Raw genomic sequence first — 16,992 nt, 5'->3', positions numbered from 1 at the left:
TGATGAGTTACCCTAGTACATGTAAATGAGAATAAACCATATGTAGTTTTTACTTGTACACACCTTGTTTGGGAACTGTTTGGCAGGTGAGATATGGCATATCAGTTATTCAAAAGGAATACCAAAACCTGGTTTTGGGACTGTGCCCTGTGAGTTAGCCCTCAGAAGAGCCTGGAGAGGGGTTAAATCTGGTTACAGAGTAGAATAAAAATAATACGAATTTTAGGCTGGGTGCAGTGGGTCATGTCTGTAATCCCAGCACTTTGGGAGGCTGAGGCAGGCAGGTTGCTTGAGCCTAGGAATTTGAGACCAGCCTAGGCAACATGGCGAAACCCCATCTCTACAAAAAATTAAAAAAATTAGCCAGGCATGGTGGTGCATGTCTGTAGTCCTGGCTACTTGAGAGGCTGAGGCGGAAGGATTACCTGAGCCCAGAAGGTTGAGGCTGCAGTGAGCTGTGATTGCGCCACTGCACTCCAGCCTGGGTGACAGAGTGAGACCTTGTCTCAAAAAAACAAAACAAAACGCAATTTTAATATTTATCAAATATTTTCTACTGGTGCAAAATCATGTTAGCTATTATTACTATGGACCAGGTGCTTTTCATAAACTCATTTTATGTCACAACCAACTCTATAAGGTAGATGACATCCTTATCCTAATTTTTATAGGTGAAGATGCTGGAAGACAGAGTGGTTAAGTAAGTTGCCCAAGGACATGCTGCTAGTAAGTCAAAAGCTGGGATTCCATCGTCGGTCTTGCTTTTTGCCCACCATTCTAGCTACTACACTTCACTGCCAATAATTGGAGAATTTTGCCCCTATTTTCTCATAGTAGGGTTCCTCTTGTTTCATGGAGGTAGGAAGGATGAGGGTGATCTGAAAGGAAGGGAATAACACTGAAGTTTTGCCAAATGTGATGCTTTTGAAATCCCTGCTTTTTTTTTTTTTTTTTTTTTGAGACGGAGTCTCGCTCTGTCACCAGGCTGGAGTGCAATGGTGCGATCTCGGCTCACTGCAACGTCCGCCTCCCGGGTTCAAGCGATTCACCTGCCTCAGCCCCCTGAGTAGCTGGGACTACAGGCACGTGCCACCACGCCCAGCTAATTTTTGTATTTTTAGTAGAGACAGGGTTTCACCATGTTGGCCAGGATGGTCTCGATCTCTTGACCTCGTGATCCGCCTGCCTCGGCCTCCCAAAGTGCTGGGATTACAGAAAATCCCTGCTTTATACACTGTTACAGGTAAATATATAACCCAGGCATCACTGGAGGCCGTCGTAGTCAGTGCTGGTTGCACCAGTAATGATTGTGTCTACATGCCTATAGATAGACAGAAAGGAATCACCTGAGTAGAAGACGGTCTGCCACAGGGCACCAAGTCAGAAACCTCTGAATAATGCCTTTTCATTATCTACGTGACCTTCAGTAGGCCCTTTGCCACTCCAAGCAAACTCATCTGTAAAATGGGAGTAATACCTACTTCACAGAATTGCTGTAAGCAACAAATCTATTCTAGTACCAGTTACCACTCAATGTTTACCCTTTACCCTTAGACTAGAGGGGGATTCACAGGTAAAAGTTTTGGGCTAGATAATCTTAAGCAAGAAACAATCTCTCTGATCTCCATTTCCTCATTTATTCAATGGAATAAATACGATTGGTAGAGCAGGAATAATAGTCCCTGCTCTACCAATCTTATTTGGTTCACCTGAGAATCAAATGAGATAATGTTCATGAAAGAACCTTGGATAATTGAAAATTGCCATACAGTTGTTGGATGTTATGGTTATTATTAACATTATAAACCATTTTCATATTTCTCAGTACCCTAGGGGGGTAAAGTCTCTGTTGTTATTCTTGGTTTTTCAGTGAAATCATTTTGAGGGTAATGATTACAAAAGCGATGAGGCTAATTTAGTACTAACGCAATGCTAGTCATTTTTCCAGGCCAGATTTTTAGCAACAAGAGAAAGTAGGGCCTCACCTGCCTGGCAAACAAAGGAGTCTATTCTGTATTCATGCCCTATCAGATTATTCATGGAAGGTCTTCTATTGTAAACGAGGGTCTGGGACAAATCCCCCTGTAGGTCTGCAGGAGAACAAACTTCAAGAAGCTGAATCCTTTAAACAGTCAAGCTTGGCTCCTTCTGATTACACTGAGGATATGCTAACAAGCACAAGGGGCCCAGTGTCTTTTTGCCAAGTGAAATAATCAAGGAGAACAATACATGGTCATGTTGGAAGTGACAGAAACACATTCAGGCCCATTGTAAGTCTTCCATACAAAGTGCTTCCTTCCCTACACAGCTCTCTGCATTTGGCCAGAAGGGGATTCAGTCTCTGCTGGCTCTGAAAATCTTCTATAAAAATATTCCATAGAACAATGAGCCTTCCAAATGAAAAATTAGAAAACTAATATCTGCCTAGGTTCTTTTTGAAGTCCGAGCATTTGTATTCCTCATTTTAACCCGGAAGGCACATTGGTGTTATCTTGACTTTACACACAGAGAAATTAAGACCGAGAAAGGAAAAATAACTTGTCAAAGCTACAAAGTAGCAAAGTCTGGGTTGGAATGCAAGCCTGTCTACCTTCAGTGCTTCTAGTAAATTATATTACTAATCAAAATTACCCTAAAACATTATATATATAATTGTTTTTCATCATTCTCCTTAAGAGTCCGAAGTTCTCTTTCAATGAAGACTAATATCTGGTGGGAATCATACTATTTTAAGAAAATCACTTTGGAACAATGGACATTATTCTTACTAGTCATTTTAAAGGGTAATGGACACCTCCAATGCATTACAGAGAAAATCGGCTGGAAATTAGAATGTTGAAGATTTTTAATACTTTGGAATAACTGTTTAAAAGTGAAATGCACATATTAGTTACATCAAGTTAAATACTTGAGATTTTTGAAACCAACCACTTAGTCCAGATCACATGATTAATTTCCTTTTAAAAATCAAACAATTTGGTATCACAGTTCACATCTGACATTCCTATTTTATTTTTACAATGATATTCAATACTTTGATTAGTAATTAAATATAATGGAGAAAATACTCCTTTCTTTCCCTGAAGCTTAAAGCAAAGTAATCATGATTTCTTATTAAAGAGGTACTTTTAATAAAGTGAAACATCATCTGGGATATTACTTTGAGTTAAAACAAGAAAAGGCTCTGGTTTTAAATATGGCAAAGGTGGGAAGAAATCTTACAGAACCTTAGAATTCAAGGGAAATTAAACAAGTTTAAATTATAACCTTGACTGAAAAAAATTTAAAAACCATAGAAAACAAACAGGAATCACTACCAATTTATTACTTGAAAACTATAAAATAAGCAGGTTGGTAGCACATAGGGGCCTGCACCAGTGATTTAGGCATATGCCTGGAAGGCGAGAGAGAGAGGTAATTAGGCCTTCAGTTGGCAGGCTGGGCCCAGGCATTCACTCTCTTGACTTGATGATGGAAATACTAAGTAGATGATCTATTGCCTTATGTATTCTCAAATGAATTCTTTAAAAAAAAATGCTGAATAGGCCATATACATTGATTAAAATTTTCCCTGCAGAAAAGGTTTTAACTACAATAAGTTAGGGAGAGCAACTCATTTGTGAGCATTTGGGAAAAATCTTAGTAACTGGAATCCACACAAGTTCACTAAAAGTTTCTGTAAACTCTCAGGGCCTCAGTTTCCTCCTCTATAAAAGAATTGGGCTAATCTTTTTTAATAATTAAAAAATGTTTAATTGTAAAAAATACCGTAAAATTTACCATCTTAACCATTTTTAATTTTACATTTCAATAATGTTACATATATTTATTCTTGTTGTGCAACCAATCTCCAGAACTTTTTCATGCTGCAAAACTAAAACTCTATGCCCATTGAATAACTCCCCATTTCCCCCCTTCCCCCAGCCCTGACAACCACCATGGTACTTTCTGTTTCTGATTTTGACTATTTTAGGTACTGCATATAAGTGGATCATTCAGTATCTATCTTTCTGTGACTGGTGTATTTTACTTAGTCTAATGTCCTCTAGGTTCATGATGCTGTACCATGTGACAGGATTTCCTTCTTTTTATGACTGAATAATATTCCATTGTTTGCATATACCATGTTTTCTTTATCCATTCATCCACTGATGGACATTTGGGTTGCTTCTGCCTTAAACGGCTATCATGAATAATGCTGCAGTGAACATGGGTGTACAAATATTTTGAGACCCCGACTTCAATTCTTTTGGATTAAATACTCAGAAATGGGATTGCTGCATCAGATGGTAATTCTATTTTTAATTTTTTTTAGGAACTTCCATTCTGTTTTCCATAGCAGCTGCACCATTTTACATTCCTATCAACAGATCACAATGGTTCCAATTTCTTCACACTTGCTATTTTTTTAATAGTGCATTCTAATGGGTGTGAAATGGTATCTCACTGGAGTTTTGATTTGCATTTCTCTAATTATTAGTGATATTGAACATCTTTTCATATGCTTTTGGCCATTTGTATATCTTCTTTGGAGGAATGTCTATTCAAGTCCTTTGCCCACTTTTTAATCGGGCCAATCTTTAACTGACAAAATTCTATAGGTTGTATAAAATTAAATCTCTTTCATTTTGATGAGATTATTAGTGACAGACTAAGCACATTTAAACTTTAGCAAAACATTTGATCAAATGACTCAAGTGACTTATGACATTCTTATGGACAAGATGAAAGGTTGAATAATAATATCATCAGATGTATTTGTAATTCATCATCTGCCTTTATTTAATAGTGTTAATCAGTCAATCAACATCAAATTGTAAAGGGCTATGCTTGAGGAATCCTGCCTGCTCAACATTATCATTGATGATATGTTTATCAAACTTGAAATGGCCAGAATCTAGGAAAGATACCTAACTGTTTAATTATGGAATAAAATTTTAGAGGATCGTACTCGACAGGCTAATATAATGAATCCAAACCAGAAGCTGAAATTTTAAAAATAAATATTATAAGTTGCTTTAAGGTTAAAGATCTTGTTTATAAAATCCATGATTAGACAAATCTACTAAATAATTGTTGATGTAACCAAACCCTAAAAACAAACAAAAGATTACTAATAAGTTTTACTGAAGATTTAAAGGCTCAGATGAACCCAGCAACAGCATGATGCAATTGCTCAAAAAATTTTACATATGGCACTTATAGCAACATAGTAGTATTCATTGGCAATACTGGGTAATGATCAAGAACATCGTGGTCCTCTTCTACCTGCTCTGGTTAAAAAGCACTGAAAGGTGTCTTCTAAGAGCCACATTTTTAAGGAGGGCTCTAAAGGACTAGGAAACACCTAGAGGAGAAGAATGGGGAAGGAAATGTAGGAGGACCCATGTGATCTTTAGGCCAAAGAGAAAATCAAATGAAGGATGTGACATATGTCTTCAAATTTGTGTAAGAAATTATCCAGAAGTTAAAATTTGGATCCAGTCCATAGACTTGTTCTTTATTAGGTTTTTTAAAAAATTGGAATCAGTGGCCAACATTTAAAAAAAATCAGATTTTGCATACGAGTTTTGGTTTCTAGCTTACAAAGGCAGAACTTTTGAGCAGTTGGAATCATTCCATAATCACTTTGAAGTGGAAGGATTTCTCTGTCTCTGGAGATGTCTGGCAATGTTCAAGTAGAGGCTGGATGATTTCTATGGTTGCTCCCAAGGTTCTCTGATTTTATAAATTCAGTTGAAATAACTTATTTAGGCCCTTACTGAACTTTTTTTTTTTTTTGAGACGGAGTGTCGCTCTGTCACCGAGGCTGGAGTGCAGTGGTGCAATCTCAGCTCGCTGTAACCTCCCCTCTGGGGTTCAAGCAATTCTCCTGCCTCAGCCTCCTGAGTAGCTGGGATTACAGGCACCCTCCACCACACCCGGCTAATTTTTTTTTTTTTTTTGTATTTTTAGTAGAGATGGGGTTTCACCATGTTGGCCAGGCTGGTTTTGAACTCCTGACCTTAAATGATCTGCCCGCCTCGGCCTCCCAAAGTGCTAGGATTACAGGCATAAGCCACCGAGCCCAGCCCATTTCTTTCTTGAAACAATTTATTTAAAGCTGACTCTTATGAAGCGATTTAAAGTCAGTGATGACATTTCCCCTGAGTATCCTCAGCCCACCAGATCCAGTCTCAGTCCTTTCTGACCAGCTCCTTGCTGAGGCCAACCTCTACTGATAGTGTCAATGGATACCTTTGACCTGTGGCTTCCAGTTAGGTTGAACCTATGGGAGTCATTTGCCAGAGATGAAAGGCAGGAGAAGAGTATGGGTTGAAACCCTTGTTCCTCTGGCTTCCTCCTTGCTGGGTTGCTGAGGGTTGACTATATCCCTCTACCAAAGGCCACAGCATGTGCTGGACAGCCCTCTCTTCAGTCTCAGCTATATTCTGCAAGGTAAGGTAACTGATCTAGGATGGTAATACCTCCCATTCATGTTAGCCCCAGGTCTCGCACCTTTCCTTAATGGTTTCTCCTAATTCTGCCAATGCCTCCCTAAATAATTACATTATAACATTTCCCTTAGTCTATCGGCTTGTGCCATGTGTTTCCTGCCAGAAGCTTAACCAAAAAACAGTTTGTTACAAAGCCAGTGGCAACAATCATTGTGGTATTATATCAGATTTCTGTCAGCAAAGGTTAAGACACCAACAAGCACTTCTTACTGGCATGGTGGTGAGCCCAAAAAGTTCAGAGGTTTCAGAAGCTTATTGCTAGAGCAGCTTACACACTGGGTAAATGACTCAATATATACTAGGAACAACAACAAAAAAACCTTTGAGAGAAATTATTTTATGGTTAAAAATGTTCATGGAACATGACTTAGCTATAAGTTTTGGGTCACTATTGTTCTTTACTTTGTTGTTGAAAATGTATAGAGACTGGAAATGAAAGCACATCTTGAAAATCTCTGCAGTATAAAAATAACTCTTCCAGAAAGCTTCAAACTATATAAAACAGTGCTATACTTCTTCCTCCTTTACCCCCTCCACCATCCAATTCACTGTAACGTTCAATTTTATTTTGAAGAAATGGCTGAAAGACAAATTGCCTTACAACAGGTCTTCTATGAAATATGGGAGAAGGCTGCTGACAGAGCAAGTTAAAAATGGCAGTGTTCACAATCTGGAAAACATCTGCCTTGCCCCGAACTGTAAACCACCACGTTGCAGAATATGGTTTGTGACAAACTGGAGCCCAGGGTGGGTGTTTGTAAGATTATAGGACAAGTCAAGGCTATTCAGGCACAAAACTGGGCAATGCGCCCTTTGGCAAATTGTTGCAAGCCAGTGACTTAAAAGGAAATACAAAAGCAATAGGCCAGGTATGAAAACTCCAAATGGAGCCAAATGGTTCACCACTTTTCTTATCATGGATACTCTTTGGTGAAGCTGGTTTAGGAGTAAAAACAATACTGCTGCTTGGAACTTTTATTTGGTAGAGGGAGAAACCTTTACTTAGAGGAGAAACAGACATGCTGGCATGGCTAGGAGAAGAAATGTGACCTCAGGATTTGATCAAGGGTAAAACAAAGGCCCATGGTTTAAATATAAAAATACCAATACGATTGAGATTCTGCCTTCCCATACAAATCAAGAAAGAAACAAATAGGGGATCTAAATGAGAGACAGAGAGAAAGAGAGAGAGAGAACATAAGTCTTGTGGTATTAATAAAATACAACCAAAGTAAAATGGACAGATTGTTGCAAAAGGAGTTCTCAGAGGTATTGACAGTTTCCACAGCTACACCCCCAGAGCTGCATAGAAAAGCAATGATAAAGGGCTACAGTGAAATGGTGAACCTAGGCAGTGTGCCTAGATGCCAGTTAGAAAGAACTTAGGCAAAATGCTTCTTTCTCAATTTAGTTTACACCCAACCCAAGATATTTGACTTGGAAGGTGACCACAACAAAAGGTGAAAGCATAGTGAATGAAGCTTTGCAGGCAGAGAAGATGGCCAACTTTGAGGACTGGAGGAGACATGGGGCTTCCAGAAAGAGAGGAGATGGGACTTAATGGGAGAAGGGCACACCCTGTGAGATGTGGGTGGAGCTGCTGGGGAGCTAATCTATATCAGGGCTGCATCTAAGAGGAGCACAGTAGGGTCTCTCAGAGTAGATATCTTTGTGGCTGGGGGCTTCATTCCTATATCCCTGGAGCTGCAAATAAGAATATCAATGGGCAGCATCCCAAAGACCCAGAGAGATCATAATGATCAAAGGGAAAGGGAAAATAATAAAGGAATGTGTGTTCCTCTGAAATAATCAGGACTCTATTGTTTAAGCAGTTATGGCATGGTAGATGGAGGAATGGATATGAAATTCTATGGAATTGGTTTGAATCTCGGCTTCAGTAAAAACAACATTGCCTGTTTTTCCTTTAGGAAAATGGAGATGACACCTTTATCTTGTGTTTACCGTGTGGATTAAACCAATTAATTCAACACATTTTATTGAGCACCAACTAAGTCCTAGGCTAGATGCCGGCACAGATATCTTAGCACAGTATTCAACAAGCAGTAGTCATCATTAAAATGCCACGCACATAAGAGCAGACATAAAACTGGGAACTATATGACAATACTTAATGTGATTCATATTTTTTTTTCCATCTGATTCCTTCATTAGATTGTAGGCTACACAAGGGCATGGTCTGATTTAGCTTGTTCACAGGGTCTGAGACACAGTAGAAGCTCAACATATATTGGTTTCTGTGAGTGAATGAATAAATAATTAGTAATTCTAATTGTTAGATGCCTGTGACATGAAAGAAAAGACATGGAGGATGAGAAGCCAGGTCTTGCCCAAACCAACTTTTGTCTTTTTTTTCACTTTCTCTAAGCACTGTCTGGGCATATGCATATAATCCTAGCCAAGCCAATTCCCAGAATTTACAACAGCCATATTTGATTGTACTTAATTTTATATTCTGCTCTGGAGTGAAGGTTCACAGATAAAACAATCTGCAGCAGACTGTTCTCAAGCGCCTTTATTAGAGAAAGTACAACAAACGTTCACATTTTCTATTTAATTAGGCCTATGCTTCTTTTAGCTCTACTTAGTTGAAACTAAAACAAAAGTTATCAGTAGGAAAATGAGAAACCCCATGGAGATTCTGAAATCTCCTTAACTTTGAGTTAGCTAAAGAATGCAGGAATTTTCCTATGAGACTCTGTCTCATTCAGGATGGAGGAGAAAAAGGGCTCATTTCAAATCTGCCCCACTAGCTTACAACTCACTGTAAAATGAAGTTATTCTCAAGTTTTATCTGTTTACACACACAAAAACACATACACAACATACATGCATAAACCACAGTTTAAAAGGCTGAGTACAGATGTGAGTCCTGGGTCCACTTCTTATTAACCATGTGACCTCGGACACATGTTACTTAACCTCTCCAAGTCTCAGTTTTCTTTCTTGGGTATAATAAAACCTACTCCTAGGGGGATAGAACTATTTAAACATGAGATAATGCCTAAAAGTGTCAGCAGAGTTTTCAGCTCATTGTAAGCATACAATAAATGATAATTACTATTGAATATTATTGTTATTCTATAGTTTACAATTGTACAGTGTAGAAAAGAGTTCCTCAACCCCAACATTCGACATTTTGGGCTAGATGATTCATTGTGTGGGCTGTTCTGGGTACTGCAGTGTATTTAGCAACATCCCTGACCTCTACACAACAGTTGCCAGTAGCATCCCCCAACCCCACCCACTTGTGATAACCAAAATCTCTCCAGAAATTGCCAAATGTTCCCTGGAAGATGAAATTGCCCCTGGTTGAGAATCACTGGTGTAGAACAAAGAGCAGTGGTCCTAGAGATAGGAGACCTGGTTTCCATGAATTCATTTGTGATCTTAGGTAAGCCTTCTCACTTCTCTGGGCCTTGATTTTCTCATATGGTAAAACAGGGCTGGAAATTCCTACTTGATCTTTCATGGTTTTGTGACAATGAAATGAGAAAAAAAAATCAAATGCCCCAAAGGAGTTATAAAAATAGGATTCCATGATGATCAGTTTGTTAGAGGTGGGCTGAGGGCGACTGGGAGAAGACACGCATACCCCTGAGCACAGCTGATGCTGACCTACTGTCTTCTCAGGAATCCCACCTGGGAGCTACTGGCCCTCCAGCAGCTTATTGATCATATGTCAAGGCTTCCCTGTTCCTTTAATGGATATATTCGTGGCTTGGCTTGAAGAATTCAAGAGGAACTGCTTTGTTTTAAAATAAAATGAAAATGTTCTTTAAAAAAAAATCTAAGTGGTGAAAACTGCCTTGTCATCTCTATATTTAACTTTCATCTAAATTCATCTCTCATGTGACTAGTATTAACCAGTCCTCAGGATTTTCACTGTGTCCTCTGCACATATATTCAGAAAAGAAATATTCCAAGGGTTTTCAACATTGCTATACTGATTAATACTAAGATAATAACACACTGAGTAATACTATGATAGAGTTCTTCATCAGCACGGGAAGATTTTGATGTCATATCATATAATGGAAATCGGCATGATGTAATCCAGAGGTGGAACCAATCATCATGCTTGTATTTATTTCAGAAAAATCTTCAAATGAGAGATAGCAGAGTGTCTGGTAAAAGAACATGAGCTTTGAGTTTGGTCAGAGCTCTATGCAGACAGTGGTTGGCTGTGTGATTTAGACAAGTCCTGTAGCCCCTTTGAACCTCAGTGAAATATGTTAATCATACCTACCCCACAGCATGGTTGTGAATTTTAAATGGAGATGAATATGTAAAGCACCAGGCACCATGCAGGCACATAGTAGGTATCCTGTAGATGTAAGTGATCTCCCTCTTTCTACTCAGTCTGAAAGACCTTTCGAAGGTTTCTTTCATCCCTCCTAGCATGGGTTTGATCTGGATGCTGCAGGAAGGGCATCGAAATGAAAACGAGTACTTTAGGTATAATTTGTAATCCTTGCTTAAACTAATCGTAATAGAGCTTGAGTCCTTGAATCAGAGTATCAATATGTCTTCCAGCTTCTGGACAAATTACTTCCCTACTTCTGATAGGCATTGGTTGGAAATTAAGGGTCAGAAGTCACCCAAAGAACAATAGTGTTTACCTAGGGTGGAACAAATAATGCTTTTCTTTTCTTTCTTTCTTTTTTCTTCTTGAGACTGAGTCTCGCTCTATCGCCCAGGCTGGAGTGCAGTGGTGCGATCTCGGCTCACTGCAACCTCCGCCTCCCAAGTTCAAGCGATTCTCATGCCTCAGCCTCCCAACTAGCTGGGATTACAGGTGCATGCCACCACACCTGGCTAATTTTTGTATTTTTGGTAGAGACGGGGTTTCACCATGTTGGCCAGGCTGGTCTTGAACTCCTGACCTCAAGTGATCTGCCTGCCACGGCCTCCCAAAGTGCTGAGATTACAGGCGTGAGCCACCAAGCCCAGCCCATTTCTTTCTTAAAACAATTCATTTAAAGCTGGGCATGGTGGTGCATGCCTGTAGTCCCAGGTACTCAGGAGGCCAAGGCAGAAAGATTTATTGGGCCCAGGAGTTAGAGACCAGCCTGGGCAACGTAGCAAGATCCTGTCTCAAAAAACAAAGAAACAAAACAAACCAGTTCATTTGGTTTCCTCTGTACATCAACCAATAACCCGAAGTAGCACAGAAGAGTAGCAAGAAGATGAGCTTGGAATCAGACAGACCTTCCATTTACTAGCTGGATGACCCTGGGGCTTTCTCAGCCTCAGCTTCTGTATCAGCAAAAATAGGGTTAATAATACCTGTCAGAGTATGAGGATGAGGATAAAGAAAGCATGTGAAAACCCTAGCACTGTGCCTGGTGCGTGGAAGGTGCTTAGTAAGTACTGCTTTTATCCTGGACTCTCTTGCAGACTCTCATACCTTACCTGGTTTAGGAGAAGGAATGGGGCAACTAAGTAAATCTATGTTTTGTTTTTATTCCTTTCTTATCACTGTTGAAAATAACACGGAAAATGTCATAAATGAAGTGCAAACCATTACAAAATACAGAATAATTTTCCTTGAAATGATCAACAATGGCTCTGCAAGAGGTTACTTTGTAATACGTATGAAAGTATATTAAAGCCCATATGAAGGTGTATGAAACCCGGCAACACAAAGGGGGTGTGGTGATCTTTCTAAAATTTGTTGTGTTCAACTTTCCGTAAAACCATTTTGCAAGTAAAGTCACTATAATAACAAGTAACAGGTAGGAACAAAATTATAGAATAAGGGTCTCTCAAATTTTCATCACTAGGGTTCTTTTCAATATTTTTAAAACTTTTTCTTATGGATTTCTTTAGTAATTTTTTAAGCCCTTCCCCTTCTTTGTTCCATAACATTTGTGCTAACTTCTATTGTATCATACATACTGCATTGTAACTGACATACCTCAAAAGCATGAATCATTTTATTCCTCTTATAACCTCCCTACTCCATGGTGGGCTCTCAAACAATATTTGCTGAGCTGAGAGCAAGCATTTATTTACATATGTTGACTATGTGATAATTCGAATCGATTTATCTTTATATATTGACTATATAATAATAGATAATGTGTACTGAACATTTACTATGTTCGGACATCATAGGGTTTTTCAGTTAACAACTAATTTATTCTCACAATAAATCCTAAGTGTATATCATTATTTTCTCATTTTACTGATAAGAAAAATGAGATTAGAAGGGGCTAAGAGCACACAGCTATTTCATTGAAGACCTGGGATTCAAACCCAGGCACTTAAACATGAGAACCCATGTCCTTACCTATTACAATAAACTGCTTTTACTACAAACTATATATTTATTGTTTACCTGTTATTGTTGCCATTAAGCAGATTCATTTTGCTCTCTAGAGAGAGAGTATGCTTAGTGGAAAGAGCCAACAGGTTTGGGAATCCGGCTGACCTGAGTTAAAATCATGATTCAGTCACTGATAGCTGAGTGTCTTTGAGCAAACCTCTTAATTCTTACTGAGTGTCAGTTTTCTTATCCATAACATGAGGATGATAGAAGCTGGATATGAAGATTGAATGAGGTGACAGAGGTAAGGTGTCTCACATAGGATCTGGCACATGGTAGCCACTCAGTTAGATCATTATTACATTAGGAACTGAGGCTACTGCCCCTGACCCAGAGTCTAAAGCTAGCTTTCATTGTCTTGCACTGACATTTCCTTCTCTTTTGTTAAGTAGATATGCTCCTCTTTCCTTCAGGTGTCATGGCCTTACATGCCATCTGTATGCCAACATTTCCTTCGTATCCATCTCATCCCAGACCCTGACTTGAACTTCAGTCTGTGATATAAAACTGCCTCCTCAGTATCTCTTTTTGGATTTCTAAAAGGCATCTCAAACTCAGCATGAACAAAAACTCTTGATTCCAGCTCCCACTAAATTTATTCCTCCTATAGTTTTCTCCGTCTCAGCAAAAGGCAATTCCATGGAGAAGCTCCGGAGTCACTCTTGATTCCTTCCATCATTTATATCCCACATCTGATCCATCAGTGACTCCTCTTGTCTCCAATTTCAACACATATCCAGAATCTGCCCACGTGTCCCTCCGTCTTCCACTCCTCCTCCTGTCAAGGCCACTTTATCTCTCCCCTGCATTCCTGCAGTAGCTTCCCAACTGATCTCCTTGCTTTTGCTCTTGCATCCTTCCCACAGGCTAGTCTCAACCCAGCAGCCCAGGTGAGCCTTCAAACATATAAGTCAGGTCATGTCACCCTTCTGCTCAAAACCCTCTCATGCTTTCCCAACTCATTCAGCGTCAAAGCTTAAGTCCTCCAATGGCCTACACAGCTTTACATGATTGGGTCCTGTTACTTTCCCGACCTAATCTTCTGCTACTCTCCCTTTTGCTTGTTCCGCCTCCATGACTCCTTGCTTCTTTGTGGATGTGCTATGCCTACTCCCTCCTTAGGGTCCCTGGCGTCTCCCCATGCTCGGATGAGTAAGTACTTGGCACTTAGTAGGTACTCAACAAATATTCTGAATGAATGGCTTGAATAATCATCTGGTTAAACACCGAGCTCACTTTGTATTGTGGGTCCCATGACTATTGCTCTTGTTTGCCCACCCTCCTACCCTGTAGCTTTTGCTTTTCCAGCAGTGACATCCTGACTCTCCCACTATGCCTGGGAAACTTGGCATTATCTATGATATCTATGAGAACTAGGATCAGGAAGATGAATTAGTTCCAAAATAGTTCCTAACTCCAGGTTTCACCAACATTTTCTTTTTTTTTTTTTCTTTTTTTTGGTAGAGATGGAGTCTCACTATGTTGCCTGGGCTGGTCTTGAACCCCTGGGCTCAAATGATCCTCCTGCCTCGGCCTTCCTAGAGTGTTGGGATTACAGGTATAAGCCACCATGCTTGGCCCATTTTCATTATTTTCTCCAAACATTTTCTAGAAAAAGGAACAGTTAACTGACTCAGGAATTCCATTTTCTTACTAGATACCTATATGCTTCTTCTGCAGTATTAACAGACATAACGAAGGACACAGTTTACCCACAGATTGTCCTGGATGACCGAGTAATGGTTGTAGATTCATCCTGCCTTGTGGTGTTCTTAAGGCATACAGAAAACAATTTCTTCCTGCTTCCAATATTCCTTTTTTTGCTGAAAAGGTCCACTTGGACGCAGACCATTCTGGGTAACATCTTTTTCTATAAAAATCAATGTGATAAACTGTCTCAACTGTGCCTCTGAAGGGCTGGGTCCCTGTTACATCCATGAGTGCAATGGCTGCAGGTATAAAGGCAGTTGACTTCTTGAGAACGTGTTTTGGTACCTTACGAGGTGTTTTATGTAGAAACGGCAAGGTTTACCCTAAAACCAGATTGAGATCAAGCAAATACTGTCCATTTTCTTTGCCCCCCTTATAGGATTCTCCTAAATAAGAGGGGTAGGATAGGGATCTTTAAAGATGATTGAATACATTAGGGGCAATGACTTCTATTTACCGCACGCTGGGATGTCACACAGATCAGACTTAAAGTTTTCATCCAAGGTGAAGCACCAGGGAGCTTCCTTTTGATTCCCTGGGTTGCGGCAGTAGGAATGGCCTCCATTCAGCTCTGGGAAACGAAGGGCGGTGAAAGTGTGTGTGTGGGGATACTGGGAATTCCATGGCTGGCACTGGCGCCCTGATTTGGTCACACTGACGGTCCCCCGGTAGTCCACACCTGTGCTGTTATAACACTTGTGATCTGAAAAACACACAAAAACCCAAACAATTAGAAAGAAACATAGGAGATGCTGGAGCTCTCCTCTAGCCAGCAGTTTCTGGAGGGGAGGGCAGGTAATTAACCTCGTGGCCACAGCTTCCCTGCTGGTCAGGGGCCATGCAGGACAGTCTCCCTGCTTTGCTGGGCTTGGACCCAGGGCCTGCCTTGCAGTTACATTCCTGGGAGGATTTAAAGCTTTTGCTTCAGGAATAAAATCAGTCTTCCAAAAGTATTTCTAACATTGAACACAGAAGAAATCGGAACTGGGGTGGGACCTGGGGGCACAGAAGTAATTTCCTAGTGAATGGTTCAAGGAAGGTTCAAGCCAAACTTTTCCTTCCATTCTGACTGACAGCCTTAGACATGAAATCATGTAATAAGGAATCTAGTTGGTATTGTAATTCACAGAACATGCTTATCAGAGGCTGTGCATTCTGGGTTTCTAACAAAAGTGGGGGCTATCTCTGTGCTGATGGGGTCGGCACCCTTGAGAAGCAGATCCCATTAAGAAGACCTCGCACGTGGCCAGAGGGGCTTAAAAGCACTGCAGAATCTACACAGTCGAACTGAACTGGAGTTTGGAGGAGTAATGACAATAATAATAATGTTGCTACTGAGCCCTTACCATGTGTTAAGCATTTTAGATGCACTCATTTACTTAACTCACAAAATAGTATTAACGATCAAAAGGAAACTGAAAAATTGCCGGTGAGATTAATTCTAGATGAAAGGGAAATGTACACTGAAATAGTCTTTTGCGTGGTGCTGCTGATGGGGTAGGGGATGGAGGCAAACCCATCTATATCTTTAAAATGGCGGTATGATATGGTTTGGGTCTGTGTCCCCACCAAATCTCATGTTGAATTGCAATCCCCAGGGTTGGAGGTGGGGCCTGGTGGGAGGTGACTGGATCACGGAAGCAGGGTTCTTGTGAATGGTTTAGCACAAACCCCCCGTGGTACTGTCCTTGGGATAGTAAGTTCTCATTCTCATGGCCGTTTAAAAGCATGTGGCACTTCCCCACTCACTCTCTTGCTCCTGCCATGTAAGAAGCTTGCTCTCCGTTCACCTTCTGCAGAAGCTGCTATACTCCCTGTACAGCCTGCAGAACCACACGTGAGCCAATTGAACTTCCTTTTTTTATCAATTACCCTGTCTCAGGTATTTCTTTATAGCAATGTGAGAATGTACTGATACATGCTATAATACACTTACCATTACATGTACCATTAGTGCATTTATTTAGTTCTTTCACAATATTGTACAACCTTCACCACTATAGGTTCTAGAACACTTATATTACCCTAAGAGGAAACCCCATATCTATTAAACAATCACTCTCCACTACCCCTAGCCTGGCCCCTGGTAACCGCTAATCTGAATTCTGTCTATATGGATTTATCTATTCTGGAAATTTCATATAAATGGATCATACAATGGTGTCTGGCTTCTTTTACTTAGTATAATGTTTTCCAGGTTCATCCAGGTTTGTAGCACGTATCTGTATTTCATTCCTTTTTATGGATAAATAATGTTTCACTGTCTGGATATACCACAATTTGTTTAACCGCTCCTCTACTGATGGCATTTGGGTCATTTCCACCTTTTGGCTATTGTAAATAGTGTTGTTATAAACATTCTCATATGAGTTTTTGTTTGAACATCTGTTTTCAGTTCTTTTGATTACATACTCAGGAGTAGAATTGCTAGGTCAT

The 16,992-nt window shown here is 40.0% G+C and overlaps 1 protein-coding gene across 5 annotated transcripts in view, besides 1 other annotated feature; it reads right to left on the bottom strand.

The window, feature by feature from the left end:
- ROR1 (receptor tyrosine kinase like orphan receptor 1) overlaps nucleotides 1–16,992 on the bottom strand; it is a 407,482-nt gene that overhangs the window by 23,835 nt on the left and 366,655 nt on the right. For 4 of the 5 annotated variants that reach the window (NM_005012.4, XM_011541526.2, XM_017001377.2 and 1 more), the window contains one exon: nucleotides 15,014–15,259. In NM_005012.4, the coding sequence (NP_005003.2) occupies nucleotides 15,014–15,259 (246 nt within the window). Of the gene's footprint in view, nucleotides 1–14,278; nucleotides 15,260–16,992 lie in introns of those variants that run through there. The other variant, NM_001083592.2, reaches the window with a different exon arrangement.
- Nucleotides 1,933–2,483: an enhancer, noted in NCBI's record as "NANOG hESC enhancer chr1:64620864-64621414 (GRCh37/hg19 assembly coordinates)". NCBI's record gives its function as "activates a minimal SCP1, AML or CMV promoter by ChIP-STARR-seq in naive H9 embryonic stem cells {active_cell/tissue: H9 hESC(naive)}" and the evidence as "EXISTENCE:reporter gene assay evidence [ECO:0000049][PMID:30033119]".

Source organism: Homo sapiens, chromosome 1 (assembly GCF_000001405.40).
Source record: "Homo sapiens chromosome 1, GRCh38.p14 Primary Assembly".
NCBI classification, from domain to species: Eukaryota; Metazoa; Chordata; class Mammalia; order Primates; family Hominidae; genus Homo; species Homo sapiens.
The sequence above is the reverse complement of the archived record's forward strand: the minus strand, read 5'-3'. Positions and strand labels throughout refer to the sequence as shown.